Source organism: Homo sapiens, chromosome 1 (genome assembly GCF_000001405.40).
Source record: "Homo sapiens chromosome 1, GRCh38.p14 Primary Assembly".
Taxonomy (NCBI): domain Eukaryota; kingdom Metazoa; phylum Chordata; class Mammalia; order Primates; family Hominidae; genus Homo; species Homo sapiens.
Genome location: NC_000001.11, coordinates 21,839,106 through 21,860,739, shown reverse-complemented (window position 1 = coordinate 21,860,739; position 21,634 = coordinate 21,839,106). Strand labels below are relative to the sequence as shown.

At 58.2% G+C, this 21,634-nt stretch overlaps 1 protein-coding gene across 9 annotated transcripts in view, besides 5 other annotated features; it reads left to right on the top strand.

Moving 5' to 3' along the window:
• HSPG2 (heparan sulfate proteoglycan 2) overlaps positions 1-21,634 on the top strand; it is a 115,067-nt gene that overhangs the window by 76,571 nt on the left and 16,862 nt on the right. For all 9 annotated transcript variants that reach the window (NM_005529.7, XM_047419090.1, NM_001291860.2 and 6 more), the window contains 34 exons: positions 505-563; positions 738-905; positions 1,064-1,174; positions 3,355-3,455; positions 3,545-3,725; positions 4,828-4,953; positions 5,065-5,217; positions 5,294-5,436; positions 5,757-5,892; positions 5,975-6,129; positions 6,397-6,547; positions 7,670-7,821; positions 7,908-8,040; positions 8,507-8,652; positions 8,814-8,949; positions 9,043-9,194; positions 10,242-10,377; positions 10,548-10,699; positions 11,709-11,847; positions 11,946-12,097; positions 12,647-12,782; positions 12,900-13,051; positions 13,248-13,386; positions 14,141-14,292; positions 14,485-14,632; positions 16,441-16,592; positions 17,302-17,443; positions 17,819-17,970; positions 18,360-18,501; positions 18,598-18,738; positions 19,067-19,201; positions 19,455-19,639; positions 20,723-20,918; positions 21,190-21,369. In NM_005529.7, the coding sequence (NP_005520.4) occupies positions 505-563; positions 738-905; positions 1,064-1,174; positions 3,355-3,455; positions 3,545-3,725; positions 4,828-4,953; positions 5,065-5,217; positions 5,294-5,436; positions 5,757-5,892; positions 5,975-6,129; positions 6,397-6,547; positions 7,670-7,821; positions 7,908-8,040; positions 8,507-8,652; positions 8,814-8,949; positions 9,043-9,194; positions 10,242-10,377; positions 10,548-10,699; positions 11,709-11,847; positions 11,946-12,097; positions 12,647-12,782; positions 12,900-13,051; positions 13,248-13,386; positions 14,141-14,292; positions 14,485-14,632; positions 16,441-16,592; positions 17,302-17,443; positions 17,819-17,970; positions 18,360-18,501; positions 18,598-18,738; positions 19,067-19,201; positions 19,455-19,639; positions 20,723-20,918; positions 21,190-21,369 (4,934 nt within the window). The remainder of the gene's footprint in view (positions 1-504; positions 564-737; positions 906-1,063; positions 1,175-3,354; positions 3,456-3,544; positions 3,726-4,827; positions 4,954-5,064; positions 5,218-5,293; positions 5,437-5,756; positions 5,893-5,974; positions 6,130-6,396; positions 6,548-7,669; positions 7,822-7,907; positions 8,041-8,506; positions 8,653-8,813; positions 8,950-9,042; positions 9,195-10,241; positions 10,378-10,547; positions 10,700-11,708; positions 11,848-11,945; positions 12,098-12,646; positions 12,783-12,899; positions 13,052-13,247; positions 13,387-14,140; positions 14,293-14,484; positions 14,633-16,440; positions 16,593-17,301; positions 17,444-17,818; positions 17,971-18,359; positions 18,502-18,597; positions 18,739-19,066; positions 19,202-19,454; positions 19,640-20,722; positions 20,919-21,189; positions 21,370-21,634) is intronic.
• Positions 7,625-8,824: an enhancer, noted in NCBI's record as "CDK7 strongly-dependent group 2 enhancer chr1:22178409-22179608 (GRCh37/hg19 assembly coordinates)". NCBI's record gives its function as "activates an origin of replication core promoter dependent on BRD2, BRD4, P300/CBP, MED14 and CDK7 cofactors, with strong dependence on CDK7, by STARR-seq in HCT116 cells {active_cell/tissue: HCT116}" and the evidence as "EXISTENCE:reporter gene assay evidence [ECO:0000049][PMID:35650434]".
• Positions 11,350-11,850: an enhancer, noted in NCBI's record as "H3K4me1 hESC enhancer chr1:22175383-22175883 (GRCh37/hg19 assembly coordinates)". NCBI's record gives its function as "activates a minimal SCP1, AML or CMV promoter by ChIP-STARR-seq in primed H9 embryonic stem cells {active_cell/tissue: H9 hESC(primed)}" and the evidence as "EXISTENCE:reporter gene assay evidence [ECO:0000049][PMID:30033119]".
• Positions 11,851-12,351: an enhancer, noted in NCBI's record as "H3K4me1 hESC enhancer chr1:22174882-22175382 (GRCh37/hg19 assembly coordinates)". NCBI's record gives its function as "activates a minimal SCP1, AML or CMV promoter by ChIP-STARR-seq in primed H9 embryonic stem cells {active_cell/tissue: H9 hESC(primed)}" and the evidence as "EXISTENCE:reporter gene assay evidence [ECO:0000049][PMID:30033119]".
• Positions 16,539-17,039: an enhancer, noted in NCBI's record as "H3K4me1 hESC enhancer chr1:22170194-22170694 (GRCh37/hg19 assembly coordinates)". NCBI's record gives its function as "activates a minimal SCP1, AML or CMV promoter by ChIP-STARR-seq in primed H9 embryonic stem cells {active_cell/tissue: H9 hESC(primed)}" and the evidence as "EXISTENCE:reporter gene assay evidence [ECO:0000049][PMID:30033119]".
• Positions 18,511-19,011: an enhancer, noted in NCBI's record as "H3K4me1 hESC enhancer chr1:22168222-22168722 (GRCh37/hg19 assembly coordinates)". NCBI's record gives its function as "activates a minimal SCP1, AML or CMV promoter by ChIP-STARR-seq in primed H9 embryonic stem cells {active_cell/tissue: H9 hESC(primed)}" and the evidence as "EXISTENCE:reporter gene assay evidence [ECO:0000049][PMID:30033119]".

The following is a 21,634-nucleotide window of genomic DNA, read 5'->3' as shown; positions in this document are numbered from 1 at the left end:
GCTGAGGTGGGCGGATCATGAGGTCAGGAGATCGAGACCATCCTGGCTAGCACATCCTGCCTCTACTAAAAATACAAAAAATTAGCTGGGTGTGGTGGCGCACCCCTGCAGTCCCAGCTAATTGGGAGGCTGAGGCAGGAGAATGGTGTGAACCCCGGAGACGGAGTTTGCAGTGAGCCGAGATCGCACCACTGCACTCGAGCCTGGGTGACAGAGCGAGAATCTGTCTCAAAAAAAAAAATGGACGTTTGCTGAATGAATTTCTCTGGAGAATAGAGACCTTACCTCTCTCATCACCCAACCTGCTAACACTCCCTTACACTCCCCTTTCTCAGTTCACCAGCACCCTGCGTTGGGGCCTGTCTGGTCCCCAAAGTGCTTCCAGAGCTCCGAGCCTCCTCACCTGACATTGGGTGGCCTGCTGAGCTTCTGGCTCCCCAAGTCCACCATGAGGCACTGGGGCCCTTGAGGCCTGACATTGCCGGCCCTTGTTCCCCCTTACAGGTGTGGCCCAGGTTACGTGGGTAACCCCAGTGTGCAAGGGGGCCAGTGCCTGCCAGAGAGTAAGTGGGACCATGGCCCAGGATGGGGACGATGGGCAAGGCAGGGAGCCCTGGGAATTTGGGGGATACTGGGTCTGGGGACAGGGCTGAGGGTGGGGTACCCCAGCTTTTGGGAGAGCAGAGATATTGAAGACAATGCTGAAAGGCCCTTCCTGTCCCGGCCCCCACCCCCAGCAAACCAAGCCCCACTGGTGGTCGAGGTCCATCCTGCTCGAAGCATAGTGCCCCAAGGTGGCTCCCACTCCCTGCGGTGTCAGGTCAGTGGGAGCCCACCCCACTACTTCTATTGGTCCCGTGAGGATGGGCGGCCTGTGCCCAGCGGCACCCAGCAGCGACATCAAGGTACCCATGGCCCTAGGCTCCTCAGCCCCAAGAGCCATCCCAGTGGGAGGGGAGGCAGGGGCCTGTCCCTGCCCTAGTGGGATGCTGTCCTTGTGCATGGGGCTGGATGTGAGAAAGAGTGTATCTGCACCAACAAGCTCTTGTCTCCTCCCCACCAGGCTCCGAGCTCCACTTCCCCAGCGTCCAGCCCTCGGATGCTGGGGTCTACATTTGCACCTGCCGTAATCTCCACCAATCCAATACCAGCCGGGCAGAGCTGCTGGTCACTGGTGAGTCCCTACGCCCCCTGTAACCAAGACTGCCTGTCCTGGGCTGGGCTGCAGGCTGCAGATTCAGGCAGATGGTGCATTCACCTGCTGGGAGGGGGCAGTGGTTGCCCGAACAAGGTCAGCAGCCATGGAGATGAGGAGAGGTGGCAGATTCAAGACTCATTTTAGAGGTAGGATCAGCAGGACTTGACTGGTCGGTGAGGGCAAAAGAAAAGGGTGGGCCGGGCACGGTGGGTCACGTCTATAATCCCAACACTTTGGGAGGCCAAGGTGGGCAGATCATGAGGTCAGGAGTTCGAGACCAGCCTGGCCAACGTCGTAAAACCCTGTCTCTAGTACAAATGAAAAAATTAGCTGGGCATGGTGGTACACACCTATAATCCCAGCTACTCGGGAGAACTGAGGCAGGAGAATTGCTTGAACCCGGGAGGTGGAGGTTGCAGTGAGCCAAGATTGCGCCACTGCACTCCAGCCTGGGCAACAGAGCAAGACTCTGTCTTAAAAAAATAATAATAATAATGCACCTCAGAGTCACCCTGCCCTGTCGTCCAGGGAAAAGTGAGACAGGGATGGGAGGGCGTCCATAAAGGCTGTGTCACCAAGCAGATTGCCACCGTGAGCAGTTGTTGCTTAGTACAACCGAGGAAGCTTTTAAAGGGAGCCGGTGTAAAACACGCACCTCAAAGTCACCCTGCCCTGGGGTCCAAGGAGCTGCAGTATGTCTAGGCCAGCTTCTGTCAGTCATTGACTGAGACCTATTCTGGGAGCATCAAGTCCCCTGCACATCTGTCCCACCCATGGGTGTGCACTGTGGGCTCCAGTGGCCTGAGAAAGCCCTCAATGCAAAGAAGTGCAGTGGCTGGCAGAAGTCAGGCAGGTGGGCACGGGGGGTGGGAAGCGTGGCTAGGCCACCAGCAGCACAGGCTACAAACAGGTCAGAGAGAATCGCAAGTTTGTTTTGGACGTGTTAGAGTCTGAGATGTTTGGGAAGATATCTCATTGAGTCCACCAGGCAGGCATTTGGGTATGTGAGTCTGAACTCCAGTAAGAGGCCCCAGCCAGAGAAATGAGTATGGTTGCTGTTGGCACAGGGATGGTGTTCAAAGCTATGGGACAGGATGAAGTCACCTAGGGAGAGTGTGGCCCGAGGACAGGGCCCCAGCCCAGAGTCCTGAGGAGCTCCAGTGTGAACATGTCAAATGGAAGAGGAAGGGCAGGAAGAGCCTGAGAGAGTGCAGCCATGAGGCAGGAAGAGACAGGGGGCATCATGGGAATCAGAGGGAAAAGGGCTTTCAGGGCAGCCTCCCTGCTGGGAAGTCACATAAGGGCAGAGAAATAGCCCTTGGAGGTCATGCTTTGACAAGAGCGGTTTTCAGTGGAGAGAAGGGATAGAAACCAGATTGGAAGGAGGCGACACATGGGTGGGAAGGCAGCGAGTGTGGACAACTCCTGCAAGAGTCTTGGCTCTGAAGGGAGGCCAGGAAGTGGGTCATTGACTGCGAGAGCATGAGGTCAAGGGGGAGTTTTCGGAAATGGGAAATCCTAGAATGCACTCTGGACCGAAGTGATCGCATGAGAAGGAGGAGACGCTGATGTTGCGAGAGCAGAAGAAGCCCCGGGGAGGGGTGGCACTCAGGCGCAGCAGTGGGATGGGGTGAGGGCAGGAGAAGGGGCCTGTCCTTCAGGGACCAGTATCTAGAGAGCTGGTAGATTTGAGAGGCTGGGAAAACTCCTGACTTGTCGTTTCTATTTTCTCCATAAGTGTGTGTCAGCGCCACTAGCTAAGAAAGTGGAAGGGTGGTTGGAGAGGCTGGAGGAGATGGGAGGAGGTGTGAAATAGTTGTTTTTGGGGGATAGAAACTCAAACCAGACGGAGAAACCCAGTTGGAGTGGGGTGTGATGTGTCAGGAGCTCATTGTGGTCTGTGATCAGGAACTGGAGCCAAGTGGACCCATGGTGTGATGTTCCCCAACCACATCCTGTGGCCACTCTGTGCTGGCAAGGAGGGTGGGGATGGTGGGGTTCAGCCAGAATGGGGGAGGGAGGTGCCAGGGGGTAGAATGAGAGCTAGGCTGGACCAGGAAGGAAGTGATGCCTAGAGGTTATGGAGAAAGACAAAGTGGCCACAGGACCGGGGCCTAGCCAGCACCGGCTCACAGGGGGGCTTCCCGTCCCTGCAGAGGCTCCAAGCAAGCCCATCACAGTGACTGTGGAGGAGCAGCGGAGCCAGAGCGTGCGCCCCGGAGCTGACGTCACCTTCATCTGCACAGCCAAAAGCAAGGTGTGCAGGTCAGGGAGTGGGGATGGAGGAAGTCTGTCTTCTGGGGTCTCTGAGCCCCACCCATGACCCCCTTTCGCCTTGCCCTGCAGTCCCCAGCCTATACCCTGGTGTGGACCCGCCTGCACAACGGGAAACTGCCCACCCGAGCCATGGATTTCAATGGCATCCTGACCATTCGCAACGTCCAGCTGAGTGATGCAGGCACCTACGTGTGCACCGGCTCCAACATGTTTGCCATGGACCAGGGCACAGCCACTCTACATGTGCAGGGTACACCTCCCATCTATACCTGATTCTCCCCTCCTGTCTCTCCCCCATTCCCACCAGAATTAGCACAGCATTTCTTCATTCTGCTGATCATTTCTGAGCACCTGCTGCATGCCTGGTCCTGGTCTAGGCTCTGCAGAAGCAGGGGAGAGAAGCATGTACAGTATCTCGGTCCTCCTGAAGTACACGTCCTAGGCAGGGAGACCATAAGCATGGGAATAAATGAACAAGCAAGATAACTACACATGGCGATGAGTGCCAGGCTAGGAATGATGAGAAAGCAAGAAACAAGGTGGGAGAAGGCCAGGAGCGGTGGCTCACACCTGTAAGCCCAGCACTTTGGGAGGCTGAGGCAGGTGGATCACTTGAGGTCAGGAGTTCCAGACCAGCCTGGCCAACAGGTGAAACCCTGTCTCTACTAAAAATACAAAAACTAGCTGGGTGTGGTGGCAGGTGCCTATAATCCCAGCTACTCAGGAGGCTGAGGCAGGAGAATCGCTTGAACCCGGGAGGCTTAGGTTGCAGTGAGCCGAGATCGCGCCACTGCACTCCAGCCTGGGTGACAGAGCAAGAATCCATCTCAGAAAAATAAATAAAATAAAACAAGGTGGGAGAGGCAAGGGCTACTCTAGATAGGGCAGTCAGGGAGGGCCTCTCTGAGGAGGTGACACCTAAGCTGAGACCTGAAGGAAAGGTAGGCATTGAGCAAGTTAGAGAGTTGGCAGAGTGTTCTTGGCAGAGGGAGCAGCACATGGCAAGGCCCTGAGGCAGGAGCACGTTGCTATGTTTGAGGAACAGCAGAGACCACGTGGCTGGGGCTGTGGGAGGGAGGACGGGTGTGGGCAGACGGGAGAGCATGGAGTATGTGGTGGATCAGGGTAGGAATTTTGGATTTTATTCTAAAAGCAACAGGGAGTCATGGACAGGTCTCAAGGTGGGAGGTCACAAGGTCCTGTTGACATTTCCCAAGCTCCCTCTGGCTCCTGTGTGCACAGATGGCCGTGGAGGGCTAGCCTGGAAGCAGAGAAAGTAGGCAGCAGGACTGTTGTGTGAGTCAGACGACACTCCCCACCCTGAGTGCATGTTCCTTTTCCTCCCTTGTCAGCCTCGGGCACCTTGTCCGCCCCCGTGGTCTCCATCCATCCGCCACAGCTCACAGTGCAGCCCGGGCAACTGGCGGAGTTCCGCTGCAGCGCCACAGGGAGCCCCACGCCCACCCTCGAGTGGACAGGTGAGGCCGTGATGGGAATGACATTCAAGGCCTGACTCTCCTGGGTGTGGGAGGGGAGGGGCAGGACTCTGAGCAGGCTTGGTGGGTGCTGACCCCACGTCTACTCGTCAGGGGGCCCCGGCGGCCAGCTCCCTGCGAAGGCACAAATCCACGGCGGCATCCTGCGCCTGCCAGCTGTCGAGCCCACGGATCAGGCCCAGTACTTGTGCCGAGCCCACAGCAGCGCTGGGCAGCAGGTGGCCAGGGCTGTGCTCCACGTGCATGGTGAGAGGCCGGGCTCAGGGTGGGGGCCGGGAGTGTGCTCAGCCCAGGGCGTGTTCTCACAGGACTCTGTCTGCAGGGGGCGGTGGGCCCAGAGTCCAAGTGAGCCCAGAGAGGACCCAGGTCCACGCAGGCCGCACCGTCAGGCTGTACTGCAGGGCTGCAGGCGTGCCTAGCGCCACCATCACCTGGAGGAAGGAAGGGGGCAGCCTCCCACCACAGGTGAGGAGATGGGCCCACCCAGGAGGAGGAGGCCCACAGGCTCTGCAGAGAGTCCCAGCCACCTTCCCTCCCCCTTCACGCCCCACCCCACCTCCTCCTCTGTGGCTCCCTTCACCTCCAAGATGGTGGTCTCCTGCCCCTGCATCCCAGCAGGGAGCCCCTGCCGTCCTCTTGGCTGCCTGGCGTTTGTCCTCCTTCATGCCCCACTGGGCCCTAATATTGGCCCTGCACCTGCCTCTCCCTTTTATGCCCTATCTGTCCCCCTGGCCAGCCGTTGTCCAGCTGCCTCTGGGGCAGCTGACCCATCTCACCCACGGCAGGCCCGGTCAGAGCGCACAGACATCGCGACACTGCTCATCCCAGCCATCACGACTGCTGACGCCGGCTTCTACCTCTGCGTGGCCACCAGCCCTGCAGGCACTGCCCAGGCCCGGATCCAAGTGGTTGTCCTTTCAGGTACGGACTCTCTGGGAATGGAGGGGTGGGGAGGGCAAGCCAGGGCTCCCCTGGGGCCTGCTGACCCCTACTCTGGCCCCAGCCTCAGATGCCAGCCCACCGCCGGTCAAGATTGAGTCCTCATCGCCTTCTGTGACAGAAGGGCAAACACTCGACCTCAACTGTGTGGTGGCAGGGTCAGCCCATGCCCAGGTCACCTGGTACAGGCGAGGGGGTAGCCTGCCTCCCCACACCCAGGTATGTGGGCCCTGAGCCTATGGCAGGGGACCCAGGGTGCAGGGGCTGTGGCGGAGGCGGGGCCTGTACGCTGGGCGGGGGAGGCGGCACACTGCCCCACACGTTCCACCAGCAGAAGCCAGGCCTCATCTCCCTCCCTCCCAGTTTCTAGCATGGGATGGCTCGGAGCAGAGCCAGTGAGAGTTTGAATGAATCACTGAGGCTGAGGGAGTGGTGACAATAGCCCCCGTCCCTGTCCTCACGTACCTCTGGCTCCTCCTGGCCCAGGTGCACGGCTCCCGTCTGCGGCTCCCCCAGGTCTCACCAGCTGATTCTGGAGAATATGTGTGCCGTGTGGAGAATGGATCGGGCCCCAAGGAGGCCTCCATTACTGTGTCTGTGCTCCACGGCACCCATTCTGGCCCCAGCTACACCCCAGGTGAGGAGCCAGGTGTGGCTGGGCCGGGGCTGAGCCCTAGGAGCTCCCAAGGAAGATGCCTGTGGCTTCTTCAGTGGGACCAGGACAGGGGGGCATTCCAGGCAGGCTTTGACCCTTCAGCGCCTGCTCAGAGAGAGAAGGAGGTTGAGTGGACGGGAGGGAGGTTAAGGCTGGTCCAGCTTACCTGGGCTCCCTATGAGTGACTGTTTCAGAATTTGTCAGGAAGCAGCAGAATGTCCAGGTTGAATACTAAGCTGGGAGTCGGCTGACCTGGTTCAAATCCCAGATCTGCCCCTTAGCAACCTTGAACTAGCTTTTAACTTTTGGGGCCTCAGATTCATCTATGAAATGGAGCAGTACTGCCCACCTGCTTGGTCATGGTGTGGTTTTTTTATTATTTTATTTTATTTTATTTTATTTTATTTTATTTTATTTTATTTTTTTGAGAGAGAGTCTCGCTCTGTCACCCAGGCTGGAGTGCAGTGGCGCGTGATCTCGGCTCACTGCAAGCTCCGCCTTCCGGGTTCACACCATTCTCCTGCCTCAGCCTTCTGAGTAGCTAGGACTACAGGCACACCCGCCACCAGGCCGGCTAATTTTTTGTATTTTTTTTAGTAGAGACGGGGTTTCACCGTGTTAGCCAGGATGGTCTCGATCTCCTGACCTCGTGATCCGACCGTCTCAGCCTCCCAAAGTGCTGGGATTATAGGCATGAGCCACCGCGCCTGGCCAGTCATGGTGTGGTTTAAATGAGACAGTGTCTATGGAAAGTACTTGTGAGCACACGGAAGACGTCCTGTAGAAGGGAGGTGTCTCACTGTCATCCGCATCCTTGGGCGCAGCCTGGGTAGTAAAGCTTGCTGGTTCCCTATGGGCCAGAGGAGCTCATCATCAAGAAGTCATGGGTGGGTCAATGGGCCTCCAGCTTGTGGTTAGAGGCTGGGGAGGGAAGAAGCCATATTCGGCTGGCCATGTGGAGGCAGAAGGGTGTGGCCCTAGTCCCAGAAAGGCCACCTGTCGGCCGTCCCCACTAGGGCCTGGTCACAGCCCAGAGCCTTCTGCCCCAGGGCTACAGGTTACAGCCCAAGAGTTCAGGCCTCTGAGCAGCCGCTCTGTGTCCAGTGCCCGGCAGCACCCGGCCCATCCGCATCGAGCCCTCCTCCTCACACGTGGCGGAAGGGCAGACCCTGGATCTGAACTGCGTGGTGCCCGGGCAGGCCCACGCCCAGGTCACGTGGCACAAGCGTGGGGGCAGCCTCCCTGCCCGGCACCAGGTATGGCAGCCCCCCGGGACCACCTTGCTGGAGGGGCTGGATGGGACTGTTCCAGCCCCCTCCCAACCCACCCCATTTGCACACAGACCCACGGCTCGCTGCTGCGGCTGCACCAGGTGACCCCGGCCGACTCAGGCGAGTATGTGTGCCATGTGGTGGGCACCTCCGGCCCCCTAGAGGCCTCAGTCCTGGTCACCATCGAAGCCTCTGTCATCCCTGGTGAGTGACTCCCAGTGACATGGAAAGCTGGAGGAGGCAGAGAGGCCTCCGGGGTGGTGAGATCCAAGGGACCCCTCTTGCTGACAGGGCAGAAGGCCCACACCGGAGCTGGCTGCAGGGCCCTGCCCAGGCCGACTCCACCTGTCAGAGTAACCACCGCCTTCCCGTCACACTTTGCTTTGGCCACATGACTCCTCAGGCGTCCCCTCCCACCTCCTCTTCCTCTCTCCAACTCATCTCTGCCCTCATCTCTCTCACTTCCTCACTCCCCTCTGCAAGGCGTGGCCCATGCCCTGGTCCTCCCATCAGGGTTGCTGAGCTGAGGGCATCAAGTCCAGGCCCCCAGATGCCTGAAAAGCTGGATCTGGCCTTGAAACCCTGGGCTGAGCTAGCTGCAGGGTGGGCAACCCCTGCCCTCTCATCTCAGGAGCATCTACAACTCTCACTCCCATCCCCACTGCTGCAGGACCCATCCCACCTGTCAGGATCGAGTCTTCATCCTCCACAGTGGCCGAGGGCCAGACCCTGGATCTGAGCTGCGTGGTGGCAGGGCAGGCCCACGCCCAGGTCACATGGTACAAGCGTGGGGGCAGCCTCCCTGCCCGGCACCAGGTACAGGGCACCAAGAATGTGGGACGGGGCCATGGACAGTGGGTTGCAGGATCCTGGCCCCTAGGCTGAGGGGCTGGCACTTCCTAGATCGGGGGGACAGCGGTGGGGCATTTGCTGGCCTCCGGGAAGCCCCCCTCACACCTCTGCCCACGGCTGCCCAGGTTCGTGGCTCCCGCCTGTACATCTTCCAGGCCTCACCTGCCGATGCGGGACAGTACGTCTGCCGGGCCAGCAACGGCATGGAGGCCTCCATCACGGTCACAGTAACTGGGACCCAGGGGGCCAACTTAGCCTACCGTGAGTGGGGCCACCAGGCTGGGCTGGGATGCAGAGAACAGGCTGGAGTGGCTTCAGAGAACAGGAGTGACCGGTGACCATCTTATCCCTCAGCTGCCGGCAGCACCCAGCCCATCCGCATCGAGCCCTCCTCCTCGCAAGTGGCGGAAGGGCAGACCCTGGATCTGAACTGCGTGGTGCCCGGGCAGTCCCATGCCCAGGTCACGTGGCACAAGCGTGGGGGCAGCCTCCCTGTCCGGCACCAGGTATGGGACTGGAGGACAGACAGGCCAAGAAGAGGAAGCGGGTCCCTGGGTGGCGGAGGTTATTGGGGGAGGGCTAGAGGCTCCCCTGAGATCAGGAAGCCCTGGACCCCATTGCACAGATGTATAGTGCAGTGGTTAGAAACCAGAATCTAGGACTGACTAACCTGGGTGTGAATTCTGGCTCCACCACTTAGCTTGTGACCTCGGACAAGTTACTTAACCTCTCTGTGCTATAGTTTCAGGGCCTATAAAATGGTAACAATGGTACGTACCAGCCGGGCACGGTGGCTTACGCCTGTAATCCCAGCACTTTGGGAGGCCGAGGTGGGCGAATCGCCTGAGGTCGGGAGTTCGAGACCAGCCTGGCCAGTATGGTGAAACCCCATCTCTATTAAAAATATAAAAATTAGCCGGGCATAGTGGCAGGCGCCTGTAATCCCAGCTACTCGGGAAGCTGAGGCAGGAGAATCGCTTGAACCCAGGAGGCGGAGGCTGCAGTGAGCCAAGATCACGCCATTGCACTCCAGCCTGGGCAACAGAGCGAGACTCAGTCTCAAAAAAAAAAAAAAAAGTACCTCACAGAATTATCTTAAAGATTAAAATATATGCAAAATCCTCAGAGCTTAGGCTCACAGAAAGTACTCTAAGCTGTTAATATTTTACTATAATGCCATTAGCTATTGTTGTTACCATATTTTGTAGAATTTAGGATACCACTGATTGCGAGATCCGCTATGATTTTATGTACCTCTAAGAAAAAGCTTCTATTTGTAAGGTTATTCATTGTAGATGCATCTTGATTTTGGAGACATCGAAATGTGTGTCTAGAATTGATGGGATGTGGTGTGAGTGTGTACCCAGCTCACTGGGGCTCCTCTGGTCTACCACCCCGCTGCTGGACAAGAGTCCCCCTTCCCCATGTGAAGGACAGGGAAACTGATCCAGAGCTGATGGCCAGGCCTTGGGGGTCAGAGTGAGGCAGGGTTGCAGGTTATAGGAACAGGGGTCTCCTGAGGGCTCCCTCTGACTCACCCCCATTCTGGCCAGACCCACGGCTCCCTGCTGAGACTCTACCAAGCGTCCCCCGCCGACTCGGGCGAGTACGTGTGCCGAGTGTTGGGCAGCTCCGTGCCTCTAGAGGCCTCTGTCCTGGTCACCATTGAGCCTGCGGGCTCAGTGCCTGGTGAGTAGCTCTCAGGGAGGGCAGGGCTGGGGACCCAGGGTGGGAGGCCCCCCACTCTTGCAACGGCAGGATCAGGAGGCCAAGCCGCAGACTGCACCTGCCTTGAGACCAGGAGCCCCATCTCATCTCACCTCCTAGCCGGCTATTGACCCTTTGCCCTCTGTCCCCAGCACTTGGGGTCACCCCCACGGTCCGGATCGAGTCATCGTCTTCGCAAGTGGCCGAGGGGCAGACCCTGGACCTGAACTGCCTCGTTGCTGGTCAGGCCCATGCCCAGGTCACGTGGCACAAGCGCGGGGGCAGCCTCCCGGCCCGGCACCAGGTAGGAGGCAGGAGCTCAGGAAGCCTGAAGGACCCTGTAGCTGCAGTACAAGAGCATAGGCTTGACCGGGCGCAGTGGCTCACGCCTGTAATCCCGGCACTTTGGGAGGCCAAGGCAGGAAGATCACGAGGTCAGGAGTTTGAGACCAGCCTGACCAACATAATGAAACCCCATCTCTACTGAAAATCCACAAATTAGCCGGGCGTGGTGGTGCGCGCCTGTAATCCCAGCTACTCGGGAGGCTGAGGCAGGAGAATCGCCTGAACCCAGGAGGCGGAGGTTGCAGTGAGCCGAGATCGTGCCGTTGCACTCCAGCCTGGGCGACAGAGCAAGACTCCGTCTCAAAAAAAAAAAACCACAGGCTTTGAACTCAGGCATGTTCGAGTTCAGACACTGTTCCGCTACTTGCATGCTGTGTGACTTTAGGCCAGTCACTTGTCACTTGATTCTCTGACCCTCAGTGTCCTATGATTTTATGTACCTCTAAGAAAAAGCTTCCATTTGTAAGGTTATTCATTGTAGATGCATCTTGATTTTGGAGACACTGAAATGTGTGTCTAGAATTGATGGGATGTGGTGTGAGTGTGTACCCAGCTCACTGGGGCTCCTCTGGTCTACCACCCCGCTGCTGGACAAGAGTCCCCCTTCCCCATGTGAAGGACAGGGACAGTGATCCAGAGCTGATGGCCAGGCCTTGGGGGTCAGAGTGAGGGGCCAAATGGGCTCATGCTGCCTACCTCATCTCCCCTGTAGCATGTCAACAAACACTGGTCCCCACTTTTCTCTGGTGCCAAGTCTCAGTCGTCCCTGGCATGGGTGAGGTGGGACGCTAGACCCAGTCCTGACACTGGGGCGGTAGATAGGAAGGGAGAAGGTGGTTTTCCCTGGAAGAGTTTCCATCGAGTTCCAGCTGGCTGGGCTGGGAGTGGCACCAGGGAAGGGAACAGGAGCTTGGCGTGAGCCGCAGTGCCCAGCTCTGAGCCTGCCTCCTCCCTCCTGACCCTCCCAGGTGCATGGCTCGAGGCTACGCCTGCTCCAGGTGACCCCAGCTGATTCAGGGGAGTACGTGTGCCGTGTGGTCGGCAGCTCAGGTACCCAGGAAGCCTCAGTCCTTGTCACCATCCAGCAGCGCCTTAGTGGCTCCCACTGTGAGTGTCTCGGGGGTCATGCAAATGGTGGAGGGCTGGGGGACCCCGACTGCACCCTCAGCAGCTCCCACACCCTGCCTTACATCTCACCCTCCCAGCCCAGGGTGTGGCGTACCCCGTCCGCATCGAGTCCTCCTCAGCCTCCCTGGCCAATGGACACACCCTGGACCTCAACTGCCTGGTTGCCAGCCAGGCTCCCCACACCATCACCTGGTATAAGCGTGGAGGCAGCTTACCCAGCCGGCACCAGGTACAGGGCCAGCAGGTGGGGAGGGCAAAAGCAGGGCACACCAGCCCCCAATGGGAAGAGGGGGGACTCTCAGCACCTCACTCTGTGCTCATTCAGTCATTCAACAAACATTGAGTATCCTTGCTGGATGGGTCCTAGACCAGTGCTGAGAATACAGAAATAAGGCTCCCTGACCTCAGGGAGATCCACTTCTGCACCAAATCTCACTGAAAAGCTGCTCCGGGCCATGTCCTGTGCCTGACACTGAAGATTCCAGATGGAATGAGACAGTTGCCTGCTCTCAGGCAGCTCGCAGGCTGTGGGAGCCCCAGCAGGATACTGTGTCAACACTCCGGAGGGCCTTAACAGGCTTTCTGGAGGGGTGACAAAAGGCTAGACGTCCACCCCAGCCCAGAGACAGGCCACATGCCATGCTGGGAGCTTCACGAAGGCCACTGAGGAGGCAAGGCAGGGAGGCCCCCAGAGTCCAGGGGCAGCGGCAGCAGTGCCCAAGATGTGGAGGAGCTGCCCACACCTACTGCCATACCTCCTGCCATCTGCTTCCTGCAGATCGTGGGCTCCCGGCTGCGGATCCCTCAGGTGACTCCGGCAGACTCGGGCGAGTACGTGTGTCACGTCAGTAACGGTGCAGGCTCCCGGGAGACCTCGCTCATCGTCACCATCCAGGGCAGCGGTTCCTCCCACGGTGAGAGCAGAGAGGGCAGGGGGTACAGACAAGTGGCGCAGAGGGTGGCAGAGAGGTCCCCGGTGCCATCACTGTTATCTCACTCTGGCTGCGTGGTCCACACCCGTCTGTCCCCAGTGCCCAGCGTCTCCCCACCGATCAGGATCGAGTCGTCTTCCCCCACGGTGGTGGAAGGGCAGACCTTGGATCTGAACTGCGTGGTCGCCAGGCAGCCCCAGGCTATCATCACATGGTACAAGCGTGGGGGCAGCCTTCCCTCCCGACACCAGGTACAGAGTGGAGCCACAGCAGCGGGGGTGGAACCATGGTCTCCTGGGGTGAGCAGAGCAGGCTCCCTGTCTCACGGATTGGGCCCTGGGTAGACCGATAGCAGCCTCAACAGGCTGAGCAGGAAGGCCTGAGCCAGCTGGTGACCCCAGCGTCCCTCCACTCCCTCTCCCTCTCCTTCCCCATCCGCACGTCCAGACCCATGGCTCCCACCTGCGGTTGCACCAAATGTCTGTGGCTGACTCGGGCGAGTATGTGTGCCGGGCCAACAACAACATCGATGCCCTGGAGGCCTCCATCGTCATCTCCGTCTCCCCTAGCGCCGGCAGCCCCTCCGGTGAGTCTGCCTAGGAAAGGGACGAGGGATGCAGGCAACAGTGTTCCCTGGGGAGAAGGAACTTTCAGGTCAGAGTCCTCAGACCTGGTGGTACTCAGGCAAGGGCCAGCGGAAAGATGCGTGGGTTCAGTGGCTACGGCTACCCCATTTCTAACATTTCAAATTCTCAATAGCCACGTGTGGCTTGCAGCCACTGACTTGGCCTGTGCAGATAAAAAGCATTTCCATCATCACAGGAAGTTTACGAATTTTGTGAGGGTTAAGTGAGTTAGTGCATGTAATGTGCTTAGAGCGTGCCTGGCATGCCAGAAGTGCTTTATAAGTGTTAACTATTATTATCATTTTTTTTTTTTTGAGAGGGAGTCTCGCTCTGTCACCCAGGCTGGAGTGCAGTGGCGCGATCTCAACTCACTGCAACTTCCGCCTTCCAGGTTCAAGCGATTCTCCTGTCTCAGCTTCCCGAGTAGCTGAGACTACAGGCACATGCCACCGTGCCCGGCTAATTTTTGTATTTTTAGTAGAGACAGGATTTCACCATATTGGTCAGGCTAGTCTCAAACTCCTGACCTCAGGTCATCCACCCACCTCAGCCTCCCAAAGTGCTGGGATTACAGGCATGAGCCACCATGCCCGGCCAAGTGTTAACTATTAGTGTTACTCTGGGGGGTGAGATTTTCTATGGCAGAGGGTCCCACCAACCCTGTTCCCAAATCTGACAACGGCTGTGCCGACTCACTGATCTCTGTTCCCCCAGCCCCTGGCAGCTCCATGCCCATCAGAATTGAGTCATCCTCCTCACACGTGGCCGAAGGGGAGACCCTGGATCTGAACTGCGTGGTCCCCGGGCAGGCCCATGCCCAGGTCACTTGGCACAAGCGTGGGGGCAGCCTCCCCAGTCACCATCAGGTATGCAGCTGGCAGGAAATGGTGGGAGAGCCGCTGGATGTGGGGGCCCTGGCTAGCTTTGCCAAGAGGGAGACCTAGGAGCCCCCGTGGGGTGCAGTACCCCCCTGTGTCAGAGGTTAGACCCTGGCCCCAGGCCTTCAACAGTTCCAGACTGGCACCTGACTCTGTTCCTCTGTCCTGTCCCCTATTCAGACCCGCGGCTCACGGCTGCGGCTGCACCATGTGTCCCCGGCCGACTCGGGTGAATACGTGTGCCGGGTGATGGGCAGCTCTGGCCCCCTGGAGGCCTCAGTCCTGGTCACCATCGAAGCCTCTGGCTCAAGTGCTGTCCACGTCCCCGGTGAGGGTCCCTGCAGTGGGACGGGAAGGCCGGGGGAGGGAGGAAGGGACAGAGACCAGGGGGCAGAACTGGCAGAAGGAAACACTTTCTGGCACTCGGCGAGAACTGCCGCTCTGATTCCAGACTTCACCTCCCGCCACCCACACGGTCCCAGGACCAAGGAGCCGGCTCAGGTGGAGTGGTTCCTGTCCCTCTCCACGGCTTGCGAGCATAGGCTTTGGACTATGCTCATCTGTGCATGAGTCCCAGTTCCTCTGGCCACACTTGGAGATGTTGCACAAGGGACCTCAGCTTTCCACCTGTCACTGTCCCTTATCTGTAAAGAAGGGGTAGTAGTACTCTTGTACTCTACTATCTAATTATAGAGTTCCCAAAAGCCTGGGACTGCACCTCTGCGAGTATTGGAGGGTGATTTACACATCTTTATTAGAGCCGGTGTGGTAGCTCCCACCTGAATCCCAGCACTTTGGGAGGCCGAGGTGGGCAGATTGCCTGAGCTCATGAGTTCGAGACCAGTCTGGGTAACATGGTGAAACCCCATCTCTACTAAAAATACAAAAAATTACCTGGGTGTGGTGGCGCCTACCGTTAGTCCTAACTACTCGAGAGGCTGAAGCACAAGAATCACTTGAACCCAGGAGGCAGAGGTTGCAGTGAGCCAAGATTGCACCACTGCACTCCAGCCTGGGCAACAAAGTGAGACTCTGTCTCCAAAAATAAATAAATAAATAAATAAACATCTTTATTAGTACTGGTGGCATATAAGGGACAAAAAAACACATCAAGCCTGTCCTTATTTCTTGGAAATCTTTGCTTACAATGGGGCTAAGTAGTTAAGGTTTTTTTTGTTTTGTTTTGTTTTGAGACGGAGTCTTGCTCTGTCGCCCAGGCTGGAGTGCAGTGGCATGACCTCGGCTCACTGCAATCTCCACCTCTGGGGTTCAAGCGATTCTCCTGCCTCAGCCTCCTGAGTAGCTGGGATTACAGGTGTGCTCCACCACGCCCAGCTAATTTTTGTATTTTTAGTAGAGACGGGGTTTCACCATGTTGGTCAGGCTGGTCTCGAACTCCTGACCTCATGATCCGCCCAGCCCGGCCTCCCAAAGTGCTGGGATTACAGGCGTGAGCCACCGCGCCCAGTGTGTAGTTAAGGCTTTTTTAAAGTGAATCAGTTGAAAGGAAAATGTCCAGTAATTAATAGCACAGGGGGCACATGCTATGCAGAAATCATGATAAGGGGACACAGATTGCTAAGCAGTAAACATGATCCAGCACTTCTTAGGTGTTGGACCCTATCATATTTACACATATTAGTTCATTTTATCCTCACAACAGCCCTTTGAGGTAGATGGCATTGTTCTCTCCATTTTACAGATGGGGAAACTGAGACTCAGAGAGGTGAAGTTGTTTTCCAAAGGTCATACAACTAATCAATGGCAGAGCTGGGATTTGAACCCAGGCAGTCTGGCCCCAGAGTCTGGGTTCTTAGCCACATTCTATCTGAGTCTGCCAAACATTAGTGGTCTAGTGGTCTGTGTGGAAGTGTCTAGACCTCAGCCCTGGCCCCACTGGTGCTGGGAGCATGGGAGGAGGAGGAGATGGTGGGGCCATTGCCTGGGGGCGGGGCTGGGGGAATGAGAAGTGCCTCCACCTCCCAGGCTAGCCCAGCTGCTCCAGGCCTCAATGGAACGGGAAGGGAAAGAAGCCATGTCCCAAATGGCCTCTGGTCCTAGTATCTGGGCCCCAGGGGAAGGGCTGAGGGCATCAGGGTGGCATCTCAGCTCACTGACCTCTCCCCTGTGCCCCAGCCCCAGGTGGAGCCCCACCCATCCGCATCGAGCCCTCCTCCTCCCGAGTGGCAGAAGGGCAGACCCTGGATCTGAAGTGCGTGGTGCCCGGGCAGGCCCACGCCCAGGTCACGTGGCACAAGCGTGGAGGAAACCTCCCTGCCCGGCACCAGGTAAAGGAGCTGGAGAAGGATGCATGCATCCTCCACACCTGCAGTGGTCCTGCCTGAATCCAGCGTTGAAGGGAAAGTGGCCTCAGCAACTGGGGCTTGTGGGAAATGGCAGCAGGAGGTCAATGGAATCAGGAAGTTGAGAGCGGGCTGGGCACAGCAGGGCCACCACCAGCCCCACAGCACCTTGGTGCAAAATAGAAAAGGACATCTCTGGCTGGGCGCAGTGGCTCATGTCTATAATCCCAGCACTTTGGGAGGCCGAGGCAGGTGGATCACTTGAGGTCAGGAGTTCAAAGCCAGCCCGGCCAACATGGCGAAACGAAAAACACAAAAATTGGCCAGGCATGGTGGCAGATGCCTGTAATCCCAGCTACTCAGGAGGCTGAGGCAGGAGAATCACTTGAACCCAGGAGGCAGAGGTTGCGGTGAGCCGAGATTGCACCACTGCACTCCAGCCTGGATGACAGAGCGAGACACTGTCTCAAAAAAAAAAGAAAAGGACACCTGTTACTCAAGGCTCTTGACTTCCTCCTGCCGGAGAAACCATCATAATAAACATGCCCTCCACAATGCGGACTGTCAAAGGGGTCGCCTCCAACAGGATGCGCCTACATATCTGTGCATGGCAGTCCCAGGGTGTGGGTACCAGAGGCCTGGGCATCTGAAGGCTCCCAGCTCACCCTCCCCGCTCTCACCCCACCTTGGCCAGGTCCACGGCCCACTGCTGAGGCTGAACCAGGTGTCCCCGGCTGACTCTGGCGAGTACTCGTGCCAAGTGACCGGAAGCTCAGGCACCCTGGAGGCATCTGTCCTGGTCACAATTGAGCCCTCCAGCCCAGGACCCATTCCTGGTGAGTGATAGGGAGCAGTGGGCGATGCCAGAGCACAGGCGCGGGGCTCCTTCCCAGCTCTGCTCCTCTCCTCTCTCCCAGCCGGGCACTTATTGTTGCCTGCAGGCGGGGTTTCCTACCACGGAGGATCAAGCCAACCCAGGTGTTCCCAAGTCTGACAATGGTCCCGTCCCCTCAACCAGGGGGACCCCAGCCCTGAGTTTCAGGAGGACCCTTGAGTCCCCAGGGAAAGGAGACCCTTCTTAGGTTATATCAGCCACTCTCAAGCCACCGCGCCCCCAGGATCAACTGGAGCTGGTCTTCACTGCCACCACCTTCAGCCCCTGCCTTGATCCCCGGAGCCTGGCCTCTCTCACCCACCCCCTGTGCCCACAGCTCCAGGACTGGCCCAGCCCATCTACATCGAGGCCTCCTCTTCACACGTGACTGAAGGGCAGACTCTGGATCTGAACTGTGTGGTGCCCGGGCAGGCCCATGCCCAGGTCACGTGGTACAAGCGCGGGGGCAGCCTCCCCGCCCGGCACCAGGTACAGGGGCCAGGATGGGGAGGATTCCAGGTCAGGCAAGGTTAGACCTGCAGTTGCTTTCTGTACCCAAACCTCATGCAAACACCAGCCTGCTTGGGGACCCCAGGGGATAAAATACGTTTGCGGGACGAGTTCACCAGCCTGCAAATCAGGAGACCTGGGTTTTTCTCTTGGCTCTGCAGCTGAATCCTTTCCTGGGCCTCAGTTTCCTCCACTGTAAAGTGAGTGGGTTGGACCTCTAGGATTCTGTGAATGAAGCTTCCACCAGCCCTACCAGCTGAGACCCTGAGCTTCCGAGAGAACTCTTGGGTACCGGCACAGTTGGGCTTGGGGACATTCCTTGTCCTGGGGACTTTGCCCTGATAACTGTCCCCTCGCTGCTCTGACAGACCCATGGCTCCCAGCTGCGGCTCCACCTCGTCTCCCCTGCCGACTCAGGCGAGTATGTGTGTCGTGCAGCCAGCGGCCCAGGCCCTGAGCAAGAAGCCTCCTTCACAGTCACCGTCCCGCCCAGTGAGGGGTCTTCCTACCGTGAGTATGGCAGATGCCATGGGCAAGGGGGGAAGGGAGGGCCCTGAAGCTAAGCCCACCCCTGCTGAGCCCAGCCCTCTGCCCCTTTGGCCCCAGGCCTTAGGAGCCCGGTCATCTCCATCGACCCGCCCAGCAGCACCGTGCAGCAGGGCCAGGATGCCAGCTTCAAGTGCCTCATCCATGACGGGGCAGCCCCCATCAGCCTCGAGTGGAAGACCCGGAACCAGGAGCTGGAGGGTGAGCCAGGCTGGTGGGCAGGTGGGCAAGCTGGGGGCAGGCATGGGGGTGCCGTCATCCCCACTGTGCAAGGGTGGGGCAGAAGTCTGGACGCCCCACATTCATGGTGTGGCCCTGAGTAAGGCCCTTCCCGTCTCTGTATGGCAAGAGCGCTGGACCCAGGAGTTTCCAAGGCCTTTGTTACTTTCTGCTATCTGCGACTCCATGAGCTAGACACACCCAGGCCGGAGGGATTGGGGAAGTGGGCCCAGGGGCACAGGCTGGCAGCACCAAGACACGAGAAGGACCAGGTCAATCCTCTCTCACCCTCCCCCATGCAACCTCACAGACAACGTCCACATCAGTCCCAATGGCTCCATCATCACCATCGTGGGCACCCGGCCCAGCAACCACGGTACCTACCGCTGCGTGGCCTCCAATGCCTACGGTGTGGCCCAGAGTGTGGTGAACCTCAGTGTGCACGGTGAGGGGACGTTGACCCTGTGGGGCTCTGCCCTGTTTCCAGCCCTGATTCTCAGCTCAGAGCCTCCAAGTTTAAATCCTCCTTCCACCATTGACTCTGTCTTGGGCATTCTCCCTCTCTGAGCCTCAGTTTCCACCTCAGTGCAGTGGGGAGACAGGTGCCCACCCAGCAGTTACTAAGCTGGAGGCCATGGCAGTGTGGGTGAGCAGCAGAGCCCTGCCTGTGTGTCAGTGGTTGTCATTCCTCCGCACAGGGCCCCCTACAGTGTCCGTGCTCCCCGAGGGCCCCGTGTGGGTGAAAGTGGGAAAGGCTGTCACCCTGGAGTGTGTCAGTGCCGGGGAGCCCCGCTCCTCTGCTCGTTGGACCCGGATCAGCAGCACCCCTGCCAAGTTGGAGCAGCGGACATATGGGCTCATGGACAGCCACGCGGTGCTGCAGGTGAAGCCGGGGCTGCCTCTCTGGGTCTGAGGCCCAGTCCATGGCCCAGCCTTGAGCGGGTGCTTGGAGGAGATAGTAGTGGATGGGCAGGTGGTGATGAGTGGATGGAGAGAGGAAGGGAGGAATGGGATGGGATGGGTGGATGACGAATAGACTGGAAGATGAGAGGGAAGAGAGAAGGAAGGTAGGAGAAGGAAGAAAGAATGAGTGGGAGGGTGGGTCGAAGGCCAAGTGGATGGATGGACTAATGGGGTGTCATGAGGGTGAGCCCTCAAGCAACCAGATGGGACAGCTAAAAACCAAGGAAAGGGCCAGGCATGGTGGCACGTGCCTGTAATCCCAGCACTTGGAGAGGCTGAGGCAGGAAGATCACTTGAGCCCAAGAGTTTGAGACCAGCCTGGGAGGCCAAAGTGGGTGGATCACCTGAGGTCAGGAGTTCGAGACCACCCTGGCCAATATGGTGAAACCCCGTCTCTACTAAAAATACAAAATTAGGCTGGGTGCAGTGGCTCACACCTGTAATCCTAGCAATTTGGGAGGCTGAGGCGGGCGGATCACAAGGTCAGGAGATTGAGACCATCCTGGCTAACATGGTGAAACCCCGTCTCTACTAAAAATACAAAAAAATTAGCCAGGCGTGATGGCGGGTGCCTATAGTCCCAGCTACTCAGGAGGCTGAGGCAGGAGAATGATGTGAACCTGGGAGGTAGAGCTTTCAGTGAGCAGAGATCGTGCCACAGCACTGCAGCCTGGGTGACAGAGCAAGACCCTCAAAAAACAAACAAACAAACAAAATTAGCTGAGTGTGGTGGCACATACCTGTAGTCCCAGCTATTCAGGAGGCTGAGGCGAGAGGATTGCTTGAGCCCAGGAGGCAGAGGTTGCAATGAGCCAGATGGTGCCACTGCACTCCAACCTGTGCGACAGAGTAAGACCCTGTCTCAAAAAATAAATATATAAATAAGTAAATAAATAGATACCAAGGCAGGGTAGAGGAAATAGGGAAGACCAAGCCAGAGCTGGGGCTGACATCAGCGTCCCCACTGAGTCCCCACATAACCAGCCTCCTTGCTTTCTCCCAGATTTCATCAGCTAAACCATCAGATGCGGGCACTTATGTGTGCCTTGCTCAGAATGCACTAGGCACAGCACAGAAGCAGGTGGAGGTGATCGTGGACACGGGCGCCATGGCCCCAGGGGCCCCTCAGGTCCAAGCTGAAGAAGCTGAGCTGACTGTGGAGGCTGGACACACGGCCACCTTGCGCTGCTCAGCCACAGGTGTGACCAAGGGCTGGCACATAGGGCTGGCAGGGCAGGGATGCCCTGGGGTCTGAAATGTAGACACATGTGATCTAGAGATGATGTCATGCCCAGGGGTGGGGAGTACGGGGAGACCGTGTTGCTAGCATCCCCCAGTGATGGCCGAGGAACCCAACTGGGGTCCCCATAGAGGGACAGGATCACCCAGGGCCCTTCCTCACCATGGCCACCCTCTGCGGGTCCCTGAGGTAGCCCAGTGACTTCTGTCATCTTCCACTCGACTCCACAGGCAGCCCCGCGCCCACCATCCACTGGTCCAAGCTGCGTTCCCCACTGCCCTGGCAGCACCGGCTGGAAGGTGACACACTCATCATACCCCGGGTAGCCCAGCAGGACTCGGGCCAGTACATCTGCAATGCCACTAGCCCTGCTGGGCACGCTGAGGCCACCATCATCCTGCACGTGGAGAGTAAGGCCTCATCCCTTCTTTGTCTGCACCAAATGGAGATCTGAGCCCCCCGACTAGGCTCCACCCCACACAGAACCCCAGGAACCCCATCCAGAGGTCTCCAGGCGCTGCAGGGTCCTGGAGCCTGCCCTGCCCGACACCCACACCCTGGCCTGGGACCTTTGCTTTCCTTATCCCCAGTCCTCTGGGCTCACCATTCAGCTTCCCTGGACACTGGATCCAACGACCTGCTGCCATTCTGACCTTTGCCCTCCCCAATCCTGAC